General features: G+C 39.0%; 1 protein-coding gene across 49 annotated transcripts in view, besides 1 other annotated feature; it reads left to right on the top strand.

Moving 5' to 3' along the window:
• Window positions 1-14,242, top strand: part of NCOA2 (nuclear receptor coactivator 2) — a 346,665-nt gene that overhangs the window by 298,913 nt on the left and 33,510 nt on the right. For 36 of the 49 annotated variants that reach the window (XM_047421240.1, NM_001321703.2, XM_017012963.3 and 33 more), the window contains 3 exons: window positions 294-1,563; window positions 9,051-9,261; window positions 12,686-12,892. In XM_047421240.1, the coding sequence (XP_047277196.1) occupies window positions 294-1,563; window positions 9,051-9,261; window positions 12,686-12,892 (1,688 nt within the window). The remainder of the gene's footprint in view (window positions 1-293; window positions 1,564-9,050; window positions 9,262-12,685; window positions 12,893-14,242) is intronic. The other 13 variants (XM_047421258.1, XM_047421256.1, XM_047421262.1 and 10 more) reach the window with 1 other exon arrangement.
• Window positions 8,178-8,915: an enhancer, noted in NCBI's record as "NANOG-H3K27ac hESC enhancer chr8:71060854-71061591 (GRCh37/hg19 assembly coordinates)". NCBI's record gives its function as "activates a minimal SCP1, AML or CMV promoter by ChIP-STARR-seq in naive H9 embryonic stem cells {active_cell/tissue: H9 hESC(naive)}" and the evidence as "EXISTENCE:reporter gene assay evidence [ECO:0000049][PMID:30033119]".

Below are 14,242 nucleotides of genomic sequence, written 5' to 3'. Positions count from 1 at the left end.
TAATGTCTTGTCTAGTAAATGCAATTTAAATACAGTAGTAGTCAAATTTAAACACACCCCCTCTGTAAAACCAGACATCTTAATGAGTTGCCTGAAAAACATCCCTCTTGGTCCAACACTGTACATGTTCAGTCTTGTCAATAATTGCAGATGATTTCAACAAAGTATTATCTATCCTTAAAATGTAGCCTGTTCTTTTAAGGTGAAGAGGCCATATCATTTTTAAAAATTAATAACAACTTGCTAAGTATTTTTCCTTTTATCTTACATTTTTTTCTTTTCTCGTTATACAGAGAGCAGAATGTGTGTGTGATGAATCCGGATCTGACTGGACAAACGATGGGGAAGCCACTGAATCCAATTAGCTCTAACAGCCCTGCCCATCAGGCCCTGTGCAGTGGGAACCCAGGTCAGGACATGACCCTCAGTAGCAATATAAATTTTCCCATAAATGGCCCAAAGGAACAAATGGGCATGCCCATGGGCAGGTTTGGTGGTTCTGGGGGAATGAACCATGTGTCAGGCATGCAAGCAACCACTCCTCAGGGTAGTAACTATGCACTCAAAATGAACAGCCCCTCACAAAGCAGCCCTGGCATGAATCCAGGACAGCCCACCTCCATGCTTTCACCAAGGCATCGCATGAGCCCTGGAGTGGCTGGCAGCCCTCGAATCCCACCCAGTCAGTTTTCCCCTGCAGGAAGCTTGCATTCCCCTGTGGGAGTTTGCAGCAGCACAGGAAATAGCCATAGTTATACCAACAGCTCCCTCAATGCACTTCAGGCCCTCAGCGAGGGGCACGGGGTCTCATTAGGGTCATCGTTGGCTTCACCAGACCTAAAAATGGGCAATTTGCAAAACTCCCCAGTTAATATGAATCCTCCCCCACTCAGCAAGATGGGAAGCTTGGACTCAAAAGACTGTTTTGGACTATATGGGGAGCCCTCTGAAGGTACAACTGGACAAGCAGAGAGCAGCTGCCATCCTGGAGAGCAAAAGGAAACAAATGACCCCAACCTGCCCCCGGCCGTGAGCAGTGAGAGAGCTGACGGGCAGAGCAGACTGCATGACAGCAAAGGGCAGACCAAACTCCTGCAGCTGCTGACCACCAAATCTGATCAGATGGAGCCCTCGCCCTTAGCCAGCTCTTTGTCGGATACAAACAAAGACTCCACAGGTAGCTTGCCTGGTTCTGGGTCTACACATGGAACCTCGCTCAAGGAGAAGCATAAAATTTTGCACAGACTCTTGCAGGACAGCAGTTCCCCTGTGGACTTGGCCAAGTTAACAGCAGAAGCCACAGGCAAAGACCTGAGCCAGGAGTCCAGCAGCACAGCTCCTGGATCAGAAGTGACTATTAAACAAGAGCCGGTGAGCCCCAAGAAGAAAGAGAATGCACTACTTCGCTATTTGCTAGATAAAGATGATACTAAAGATATTGGTTTACCAGAAATAACCCCCAAACTTGAGAGACTGGACAGTAAGACAGATCCTGCCAGTAACACAAAATTAATAGCAATGAAAACTGAGAAGGAGGAGATGAGCTTTGAGCCTGGTGACCAGGTAAGTTTTATCACATCTTCTCGCAGGTGTACTAATCTGTATCCATCAAGGATTTTCTCCATAGGGGCATTTTGAAGTCTCAGGTGATTGGATAAAAATAAGCTTTCTCCTTTGTTGTTCTTATCTTGAAAATCTCGCTGAAGCTGTGTGTTTCAAATACTCTCCTAGCAGAGTGACATTGTTATAGAACATAGGTGGGCAGGCCTTTTTTTGTGAGGACCAAATGTAAGTATTTTAGGCTTTGCAGGCCATATAGTCTCTGTCACAGCCATTCAAATCCACCATTGTAGTGCAAAAGCAGCCACAGACACTGTGTAAACAAACTTGAATATGACTTTGCTCCGATAAAACATTGCTTATAGACACTGAAATTTGAATTTCATGGAATTATCATGTGTCACAAAATATTTAAAATGTTTTTAACCATTAAAAAAATGTAAATTCATTCTTAGCTCATACAAAAACAAGATTTAGCCCACAGGCTGGTGGTAGTTTGCTGACCTCTGTTATAGAAGCTGCCTGAATTGGAGATAATCACTTCCTTGAAACTGGGCTTTGTCAGAACAGACGTAATTGAATTATTTCTTATTTACCTTTCTCTCTTTTTAAGATCAGAGTTTAACTGGTTTTGAAACCCAATGAAGGTCGTTCTACCTCTCTTTATTCTTAACTAAACTTCTGATTAATGCAAAAGAATTTCTTAGACCACTGGTATAAAAAATATTTAAGAGGGAAAGGGATAGTAGAAAGGAGAAAGAAAGATTGAACTGATATTAGTACGTCTGAGCCATGGTATGTAAATTCAAAACTAGAATAATAGGCTACATTATGTGCTCTCATTGTCTGAAAAATAAGTTCCCTGAAAAAATCCAGGATACCTTAAGTGATATTCAAAATAATACTTATTTATACTTGACAAATTAAAATTGTATATATTTATGGTATACAACATGTTGTTTTGAAATCCATATCCTGGAATGGCTAGACCAAGCTAATTAACAAATACATTACCTCACATACTTTTTGGGGTACAAACACTTAAAATCTATTAGTGATTTTCAGGCATATAATACATTGTTACTAACTGTAGCCACAGTGTTGTACAATAGATCTCTTGAACTTACTCTTCCCGGCTAACTGAAATTTGTATCCTTTGACCAACATCTCCTCAACCTTCCACCCCAAATCATTCTTGATAATCCTCTAAGGAGATAATGACATCACAGGGAAAAAGTAAGCTATTTTTCTTTATTAAAAAAACAAAAACAGACTGGGTGAGGTGGCTCATGCTTGTAATCCCAACACTTTGGGAGGCCAAGGTGGAGGACTGCTTGAGGACAAGAGTTCAAGACCAGCCTGGGCAGCATGATGAAACCCCATCTCTAGAAAACATAAAAAATTAGCTAGGTGTGGTGGCATGCACCTGTAGTCTCAGCTACTCAGGAGGCTGAGGCTGCTTGAGCCCAGGAGTTGGAGGCTGCAGTGAGCTATGACTGCACCAGTGCACTCCAGCCTAGGCAATAGATTGAGACCCTGTCTCAAAAAATTAAAACCCATTTAAAGAAAACATGGGTTATTAACAGCCACAGTGACTTGGCATGAGACGTTTCCTAGGGAATCAATGATCAAAGACTTTACCCTAGCCATCACTTTTCTCTAGTCCCTGAATATGCCCTATACTTCTTATCTGTTCTTGGGTCATGATTGGTTAAGAAGTGAAGAAGCCAAGAGGGCTTTCCTACTTTAAATGACTCAAGGTTTGTCCTTGAAATTTGTTTTGCGAGAGGATATTTCATGTGTCAGTGTCTTCAATGGATGGAGAGAGGAAAAGCACACCCCTTGCTGTACCTTGGAGCTCTGCTGAGTCGGTAGAGCTAACCCAGAGGCAGGTCTGGGGTTGAGAGCCATCCTCAGGGAAGCCAAGGCCACACTTGCTCTTCTAGCTGGGCTCCATCTAGGCTTCTAAGCACTTGGCTTCCTTATTTCTTTCACTTTGATGTCTCGACAGCTGCTACCATTCCTAAAGGTCGGATACAATTTTTCAAACCTTCATGTCCTTCACAAGGGAAGCGGAGCCAAATTATATAAACGTCTTGGGTGATTAATCCTTAAACTTAGATATTAGTGCAAGGTTCTATTAGCAGCTGTTCCGTAACACTGTAAAATCATTAAATGGGGAAACTGGTGTCTCAGCAGAAAATTAATAGCAATGTCTTGAATAAAGTGAAATGTAAAACCATATTAACACCTGTAAGTGTTTTAATCTTTTGAGGTGTACTAGATTAGAATCTACACAGCTAGTGGTAATCCAGAGTGGCAGGCACAGACAATGGCACTCCGGTCTCTTGACACATGCTGGAGGGCAAGATGGTCTCCCCTAGCTTAGTGTCTAACGTGGCCAGGCCTTCCCTGTGTAAACGATTTATTTCTATCCTAGGCCTGATCTGAGGCCCAAGGGACTTAGAGGGTCAAGGAAAGGGGCCACTCTTTGGTATTTCTGTATTTATTTATGTGATTGCACTAACTTCAGACAAGAAACTGACAAAAGAGGAGTTTTTTAAAAACTCCTTGAGTCACTTGCAGTTTCAGGTTATTTATTTAGGAGAAATGTTTTTCTGATAAAAATTGTCTCACCTAGGAAACATAAAGTCCAGAGTGTAATCAGCACAGATCTGTTTTTTTGGGGTGAATCAAAAAGCAGTGTACACAGGCACACATGCATGTGCACACACACAGAGGCACATATAGTAAGTATATTTTTCTTAATGAAATCCAGTCTCTGGTCTCGCCCTCCCTTTACTCTCATGTAAAACTCCACCAGAAGTACTGCTTTAGAGCAATTTTAACATCAAAAACATTGCAGCTTGAAAAGTTACCACAGGAAGTGTGCATTACCTATATTTAGATCAAAGTTAGAATGACTTACTTTAAGAAAAAAACAATGATTCTTTCACCTCTTGCTCACCTTCACTGTTTCCAAATACAGGTTAATTGTATCTCCTATTGATTGCTGTACAAACTTATTGAAGACTTTTCTTTCATTTCAAGGGAATACAATAAGTTATTTAGTGAGATAAAACAAACTATTAATGAGTCTGAATTGCACAGTTAACTGTCTTGTTATTTTGATTCAGAAAAGAGCCATTGACTGAGTGTGTGTTTAACCTATTACTAACTTATTAATGACAGGAAGTACTTCGATGGTGCTATTATACCCAAAATAGCATTTTTTACCGAGCAGAGTGGTTAAACATTTGTTTCTACAGCATTTCCTAACCAGCAGGAAACAGTAACAGAAAAATTTCCAGTATGTTTACACACTTTTAAGTTACATGCTTATTTACACAGTGGAACATGGTTGATACTTAACCAAACGATACTACTGGGTCCTTTCTAATGCTGCTGAGACACGTATGATAAGGGTTTGGAAATAGTCTAAAAAGAATTTCTTCTTGGTATTTGACTCCATTAGAAAGGCAAACCATATTTTAAACTGATAGTGTCCTGAAAATTTCTCTCCAGATGTGGTAGAATTGTATTACCATTTCTTAACAACTTTGTGTTAGGCAAATATGGTAAAATTATACTTTTTATTTAAAATATTTTGAAAAGATGCCTTGTAATTTATTAGAATACTGATGTTGTTTAAATGCTTGTGCTTTTTATATTTCCTGCAGAGAACAAGTTGATTTGACATGAAAAAATCCTAAAACCAGAAAAATGAAAAATTAAAGAAATCAAGTCTGATTTTCATTTTGTAGAACTTTTATAAAAATCTTTCTGACTCATTTTCTGCCTGAAATAGTTTAAACTAACAACTCAAATTGATGTGGCTAATTTGAGCATTCAAATAGATGCCTAAGCAAAACTTTGAAGTATCTTGGCAAAGCATTTTAAAGGAAGGCATTAATCTTTTTGTCTTGTAAAGAAATTGTGCCTAACAAAGTGGATAGAGACTAGAAGAACTTTTGATGAGAATTAAAGCCTACAAAAATTGAGGGGAGAAAATTTTTTAACAGAAACTTAATGTGATCAAATTTATTCCTTCCAAAACTTACATGAATACAGAAAAAAAAAAATTCTGTAGTCATCAAATGTTACTGTTAACCTGAGGGGTATAGATATTCTGAACTTTATCTCCTTGAAGAAGAACATGTAAAGTGAACTTACGACAATTAATGTTAAATGTGTACTCCATAAATTGACAAGGAATAAACACAGGCAAAGCAATATTATCTCTAGTTGGGAAAACTTCATAGTGCATTTTTCAGATGCCAAGCTTGAATGAATTCAAATAGTGTTCATAGTTTTAAGCCTTCATAGAACTAGTTCCTTTTGATACTAAGAAGATCCTGAATGGCTTTCTTAAGAAAAATGTATTTAGGCCGGGCGCGATGGCTCACACCTGTAATCCCAACACTTTGGGAAGCCAAGGCAGGCAGATCATCTGAGGTTGGGAGTTCAAGACCAGCCTAGCCAACATGGTGAAACCCCATTTCTACTAAAAATGCGAAAATGAGCCAGGTGTGGTTGTGCACACCTGTAGTTCCAGCTGTTGGGGAGGCTGAGGCAGGAGAATTGCTTGAACCTGGGAGGCGGAGGTTGCAGTGAGCCTAGATTACACCACTGCACTCCAGCCTGGGTGACAGAGTGAGACCTTGTCTCCAAAAAAAAAAAAGGAAAAGTGTGAGTCTAGACTGTTCTTAATATATATTGTCAAAAGTTCCTTTTACATATGTCTGGGATTGGAAGCAAATATAAATGTATCCATTGAGAAATAACATACTTTACTTTTATTGTTTACATGGACCTATTTATTTTGGATATTTCTCTTAAAAGTAATCTGCAGAGCTTTCTCAAGAGGCAACTCATCACTTATTATAGCCCACCTCCCTCACCCCCACACATGGAGCTTCTACCTTTTAAAAATGCTCAACACAGGACAACATTGTAGTAGGGAAACTGGTTTTCATAGAACAGATATAACCTTCTCAGTTTATTAGAGGCTTTTTCTGATCTATCTTCATGACAAGTGTAAGGAAATTTACCACACATTTTTATGAAACATTTTCTGAAAAAGTAATGGAAATTATAGGAATTCCTATGAAAAAAATTACTGATTTGGGGAAGATTTTTTAAAGTTTGTGTTAATATGATTAAAAGAAATCATCGTGTTGACTCAGTGCCCATTACTTAGTTCTAGGCACTGTCCTTGGAGGACAATCTATGTTTATACTGAGAATAACAGTTTATACCTTATGCATTCAGCAAAACATGATAAAGAAGATTACAGTGGAGTCAACTTTACATATGTATTTTAAGTACATAAAGTCAGTTTTATGTTCCTGGAAGAACAGATGGTTATTAAATGGTTATTTCAGTAGTATGAGCAGTTTTGCCCACCATTGAACTCAATGAATACCTGCCGTAGTGGAGTGATCATGAGGTGGGTGACATGACTTTGCTGGGTTTTGGTTCCCTTGTGGCTCTAATAGTGTGAACATGTACCTATGGGCTTTTTAAATGCAGTATGGCCCCTACATAAACTACTTCACTTAGGACTCAGCCAAAGAAATAGTAATTTGCTGCCACTCTGGAGGAAAGACTGTTGCTGTTGGAGGAGATAGTCAGTGCGGTGCCTTCCTACAGAGCTTTAAGGATAATTTGACCTGTCTGTGACTGTTGGTACTTTAGGATGCTAACTTTGGAACCCAGCTCTTAATTCATAACTGACTCTCCTGTATTAGATACCTCCCTCTTTTGTTACAATTGAGTGGCTAAACTAGCTAAAAAATGGTCTTGTAATTGCTCTAACAATGCGTTAGGAAAATGGATCTCCCAATCATTGCTAAGCTAGTTGTCTCTGAGAAGAACCAAATAAAATCTCACTTCATTCTATTCTTCCTAACTTGAGAAATATTTCCAATCAAAAAACATCTCATATGGATGTTAAATTTGCTGTAAGTTGCAAAAATCTTAGCATATCCAACCTCTGCATGGGGAGGAATTGTATGTCGGATAAAAATGTAAGCCATCCTACTTTCAGTGTAACTCATTATTAGATGTATGCCATGTATTTCATTTGATTTGCCAGTGTAGATGAAAGGAATAGTTGTGGTCAAGGATTCAAAGTCCAATGACTGAGGAAACTAACTTACGTTTTCCACTTACACATCAAGAAAATCGTTCGTACTACTTTCTGCACTAGAAAGCAATCCTAGCATGCACTATCTGATTTTAAATATCTGGCACATAGATAGGTTATATTTAAAAGAATATCTGTAAAATCTAGAATAAATTCCAGTTTAGCTTCCTAGCAGAAAAGTGCTAAGTGTGAAATAGTGGTGATACTTAGCTTATGTTAGTGCTTGAATTTTGTTTTTTTTTTTAATGGAAGAGAAAACTTAAAAACATTTTTTATGGCTTCTGTAGACAGGCACGGTGGCTCTCTCCTGTAATCCCAGCACTTTGGGAAGCTGAGGCAGGAGGACTGCTTGAGCTCAGAGACCAGCCTGGGCAACAAAATGAGACCCCCATCTCTAAAAAAAAAAAAAATCAAAAAATTAGCCAGACATGGTGGTGGTGGTGCATGCCTGTGGTCCCAGCTACTGAGGAGGCTCAGGTGGCAGGATCACTTGAGCCCAGGAGATCAAGACTACAGGGATGAGTGTTTGCGCTACTGCTCGCCAGTCTGGGTGACAGAGCAAGACCCTTTCTCAGAAAAAAAAAAACAAAAAAAACATTTTTATAGCTTCTGTATAATTAGGTTAATAGTGCTATGTTTGGGGGGCAACCAGTTTTTATCCTGCTTCCCTACCTTTGTTACCTAAGCTGGCAAAAGACTGGGAAAGCCATTGTCATTCAAAATTGAAAGTCCAAGCAGAAAAAAAGGACTACTCAAATTGAAAAGGCAGTGCTTAGTTCATGGATGCTTCAAGCTTATTTTGCTTCTCTCTCCCCACCCCTGTGTTCTTTTAAAGATTAAAAAAAAAAAAATCCTGAAGGGAAATGACTGTTTGTTAAATACTGATTGGGTGCAAATTTGGATTACATTATATGCCAGTTTTTTGTTGTTGTTATTTCTTAGGGAGTTTTGATGATAAAACCTAGACCTGGACCAAAGTCATAGTCTATTCATAATTAATTGGAAATATATATTCTTATAATTAATTGAATGATAAGCATAAAATAAAGGAGAATTTATAAATTGCCAATAAATCACAATGCTGGAAGAGAGCTTTCTTTCTTATTCAGCCATCTCTTTTTATAGATGAGGAAATTGAGGACCAAGAGATTAAATTATTTGTCCTTTGTTAACCTAATTTTTTAAAAGATGATCAATTATCTGTTAGGCCTGTGGTATGCAGGAATCTACCTATTTTATTTGGCTGTGGTGCCTTATGGCAGTTAGGTCAGTGATTGCAAATGGGCTTGTGGTGTCTACTCTTAGAGTAGACTGGATAAACTCTTCTGTTTGTCAACTACAGCCTGGCAGTGAGCTGGACAACTTGGAGGAGATTTTGGATGATTTGCAGAATAGTCAATTACCACAGCTTTTCCCAGACACGAGGCCAGGCGCCCCTGCTGGATCAGTTGACAAGCAAGCCATCATCAATGACCTCATGCAACTCACAGCTGAAAACAGCCCTGTCACACCTGTTGGAGCCCAGAAAACAGCACTGCGAATTTCACAGAGCAGTGAGTATGAGAAATGGCTGGTTATGCCAAGAAATTTCCATATAATCACTATCAGAAACAGGGATTATTGAAGTCTGATGCAACCAGCTTAGTCACTTTAAGGTTTTTGTGATCAAATAGCACCATCTACTGTCCTGGTCTTTTGAAACAGTATTCAAAATGGATCCTCCTGAGCATGGTTCTCTCACATTCTCTTGTGGGTTAATTTAATCAGCACTGGACAGGGAGACTGACCTACATTGATGAAGTTCTTCAACTGATTGTCATATTTCCCTTCATTTCAGTGACTGCCTTCAGACATGGAGTTTATCCTGGATTTTATGTGTTTAATAGACAATGAAATACTGAAATATATAACATTTGGGAGCTATGCTGACTTTTTAGGGATAATACACTATTTAAAAATATTCTACCCTCCCAAACTGCTCAGCTGGTAGTAACAAAAAATAAATTTAAAAAAAAATAATAAAATATTCTACTAAAAGTATTTTTACATGAAAGGGCTACACACATTAAAAATCTTGCCCTGTCTCAGGAATCTTCATATAAACATCACTTGACGTGGAACTTTACGTTTCTAAATGTATTCTAAGTTAAGTTGTCTGTTTAGAAAGAACATCTTCTATCTTTTCATTTTAAAGTTTTGTAAGCTTAGGATAAACTTGTTTACTATGAACACTCAGTTTACAAACTTGATTAATACCTGAAGTTGTCTGATAATCTTGAATGGAAGAAAATATCTGTTATGTAGCAAGGCCATAATTTATGAAAGATAGATAACCTCTTCAGCATTAAATTGGCAAAACAGAGTGATTTTTCCTTTTCAGATACAATTTGAGCCAATACCTGGCATTTGTTCTCAGATCAAAAATGGCAACCATCAGTCAAATCATAGAACATCTTTCATTGCTAGGTCTTTTCTCAAGTGATTTCTGACCATTCTGAAATAGGAAAAACAAAAGACAGATGAGTTTGGGCCGGGCGTGGTGGTGGGTGCCTGTAATTCCAGCTACTCGGGAGGCCGAGGCAGGAGAATTGGTTGAACCCGGGAGGCGGAGGTTGCAGTGGTCCGAGATTGCGCCGCTGTACTCCAGCCTGGGCGACAGAGCAAAACTCCATCTCAGAACACACACACACACACACACGCGCGCGCGCGCGCGCGAAAGATTTGCATGTGACCTCTCAAACCTCACTCTTTCTTGGGCAATGGAGAGTTAATTGTGGATCATGGGAGATCACGAAGTCAAAAGAGTTGAGAATTGGGTAAGAAACACACTAGACAGGCTGGGCGCAGTCGCACGTGCCTGTAATCCCAGCACTTGGGGAGGCTGAGGCAGGTCGATCACCTGAGGTCAGGAGTTCAAGACCAGCCTGGCCAACATGGTGAAACCCCATCTCTACTACAAAAAATTTGCTGGGCATGATGGTGGGCGCCTGTAATCCCAGCTACTCGGGAGGCTGAGGCAGGAGAATTGCTTGAACCCGGAAGGTGGAGGTTGCAGTGAGCTGAGATCATGCCATTGCACTCCACCGTGGACAACAAGAGTGAAACTCAGTCTCAAAAAAAAAAACAGACACACTAGACAGTCCATGCTCATTAGCCCTAGGGGAGGTTATGAAGGACTGTGTAGAATTTATGGTTTCTCCTCTTTCTGTAGCTCCTGGTGGTATTCAGATTATTGATGGCAACCTGATAACCAAACCTGAGGAAGTCATGATTAAGCACGCACATAATTTCCATTCTCAGCCCTAATTTTTTAAAATATTTTATTTCTATCATTGATGGTTAAGAACTTTTTCTTTTAAATGTGCTATTTCAGACTATGTTTATATAATTCAGGAAAATAAAGTACTTGATGTTATGTAATAAGTTACTATAATTTGTAATATCTTAGTATTAAATTTAATAGCGTTAACAAATTATAGGTTGTCAGTGTGATGCTGGTCTAGTGCTTAGTACACAATAAATTCTTGTCAACTAGCTATAAAAATCATATCAAATCCAAATATGTCTAGAATTTAAAGAAGCTGTACTTTGAAAAGTAAGCAGGGTCCTACAGCTTTAATTTAATACTGCTTTAGGCAACAGAGTTCACACTTAAAATTTTTAACTTCTAATGAGAGTAACCACTTTTAATCTAATTCTAATCCTAGGAAAGCCCAGTTAAGAAGTGATGTTCTAATATCCAAACCATGTATGTATAGGTTTGGTGATATATGTAAGAGATGTTAATAGCTTCATAGCTGTGAGAAAGCAGTACTCCTAAGTCTGAATATTATAACGTGAAAAAAACACTGGTTTAATTAGCAAATACAGTTATATATTTGAAATTACTATTGGGAGCCAGACACGGTGGCTCATGCCTGTAATCCCAGCACTTTGGGGGGCCAAGGCAGGAGGATCACTTGAGGCAAGAAGTTTGAGACCACCTTAGGCAATATAGTGAGACACTGTCTCAACAAAAAAATTTTAAAATTAGCCAGACCTGGTGGTACTTACCTGTAGTCCTAGCTACTCAGAAAGCTGAGGCAAGAGGATCTCTTAACCTTTTCTTAAGCCCAGGAGTTAAAAGCTGCAGTTAACTACAATTGTGCTGCTACACTCCAGCTGGCACAACAGAGTGAGACCCTGTATTAAAAAAAAAAAAAAAGGGCTGGGCACAGTGGCTCAGGCCTGTAATCCCAGCACTTTGGGAGGCCGAGGCAGGCGGGTCACACGGTCAAGAGATCGAGACCATCCTGGCCAACATGGTGAAACCCCGTCTCTACTAAAAATACAAAAATTAGCTGGGCATGGTGGCACAGCTGTAGTCCCAGCTACTCGGGAGGCTGAGGCAAGAGAATCACTTGAACCCTAGAGGCAGAGGTTGCAGTGAGCCGAGATCGGGCCACTACACTCCAGCCTCGCAACAGAGCGAGACTCCGTCTCAAAAAAAAAAAAGAAAAAATTAGCCGGGCATGGTAGTGCACGCCTATAATCCCAGCTACTTGGGAGGCTGAAGCAGGAGAATCTCTTGAACCTCGGAGGCAGAGGTTGTAATGAGCCGAGATCGTGCCATTGCACTCTAGCTTGGGCAACAAGAGCGAAACTCTGTCTCAGAATAAAAAAAGAGAGAGAGAGAATGAATGAATGAATGAATGAATGAAATTACTATTGGTGAGGAAGGTATATGGTAAATAATATACATGTGTTTGTTTTGTTTTGCAAGATCGTCAAGAATTAGAGACCAGTTGATTAGATCACACATCTATGCTTTGGGGTGCTGCATGTGTTTTTTGTCTGTGATTTTGTCTTTTATCTAGGTAGTTGGTCCCTGACATACATACCTTTGTCATTTTACAGACATTGTCCCTAAACACTACTGTTAATATTATTTTCCATTATCCTATATTAACCTTCAATTTTCATTTGTTTTCTCCTTAGCTTTTAATAACCCACGACCAGGGCAACTGGGCAGGTTATTGCCAAACCAGAATTTACCACTTGACATCACATTGCAAAGCCCAACTGGTGCTGGACCTTTCCCACCAATCAGAAACAGTAGTCCCTACTCAGTGATACCTCAGCCAGGAATGATGGGTAATCAAGGGATGATAGGAAACCAAGGAAATTTAGGGAACAGTAGCACAGGTAAGGGGTCAAATGCACTGTTACTTTATTGGTGGGTTATTTAATTTAATGGTATATTTATCCACATCAAACTAGTAGAATTTTTCAAGTGAACTTTTTATGTTAGAAAATAACATCTGAAAGTGAGAAAATTCTACAGATTTTCACTGTGAGAATGGCATGTGGGAAAGCCTTTGGGTGAGCTAACCATTTAATTCTGTGATTGTTACTTTTATGAGGTTTCCAACCATTAATCCTATAGCTGAGACTTATTTCACTTCTATCCCAGTTACTGTTCTAGGCATTGCAGGGTATATATAAAATTACTCCAGGGATAATTTACTGATACCTCAAAAACTTATGGATTGATTATTTGTGTTTGGAGAATTTCAGAATAAGAGCTTAAAATTCAACCAACCTTTTATACTTCTAGGTGATAAAATTCTTATTCCAAAAAGTACTAATTAAAAATAAAGAACTTTAAACAGTAATATGCCTGGCCTAATAGCTTTCAGATCTGGTCCCCAGCTCCCTTTTGAAGATGTAGGAAGTTGCCTGTGATCAGGTTTGGATGTTGACCTGCTATAATTGCAGGTGTCTGGCAATTTGCCTAGGCACATTTCCTAGGTAGTAGTCACTGTCTCAGTGGCCATTATATTCCCAAGCTTATATCCAGTTCAGATTGGAAGTCACTGCAGTAGCACCGATTGCTGTTGCCACCACATCCACATCCTGTACCCTGTAACATATTTTTATTATGGATATAGCAGGATGCTGTTTTCTAATGCAAAGCTGCTCACAGTTTATAGCTTTCTTCCTCTGTCTCAATGAGTCACTAGAAACAAAGGCATGGAAAGAAATCTTGTAAGAAGAACTTATAGTGGTAGGTGTTTTAACTGTTGGTATTTTATTTTTAGCCAAGCCTGTATCCCTATACACACATTGAGTGCTGTTTACACAGTTAACTGAATATAAGAGTTCAATTTAAGGGGAAGAAGTAGATTTTTAACTTTCTATTGTTTATAAGGAATTCATGGCAACTGTGAACTGTGCTGTATTAAGGTAACTTTTTCCTTCAGCAAATATTTATTGGGTGCCTGCCACATATGTCATGCACTGACTGCTTCACTAATTATATAGTCATATTCATTTCATTAAATATTCAGTAAACAAAGATTAATTTAAAATTTAAGATAAATAAAATATTGATTTATATAAAGTTCTATAAGAGAAAAAGGAGCCATGATTTATTAAGGCTTACCAGCAGAATACAAGAAGATATGAGTTCTTGTAGGAATCTTCTGCAGGAATTTGAGAATAGGCCTGTATTAAAATCCGAGCAGCCAAGAGAGCACTGGTGTCCAGCCTGTG

Source organism: Homo sapiens, chromosome 8, assembly GCF_000001405.40.
Source record: "Homo sapiens chromosome 8, GRCh38.p14 Primary Assembly".
NCBI classification, from domain to species: Eukaryota; Metazoa; Chordata; class Mammalia; order Primates; family Hominidae; genus Homo; species Homo sapiens.
The sequence above is the reverse complement of the archived record's forward strand: the minus strand, read 5'-3'. Positions and strand labels throughout refer to the sequence as shown.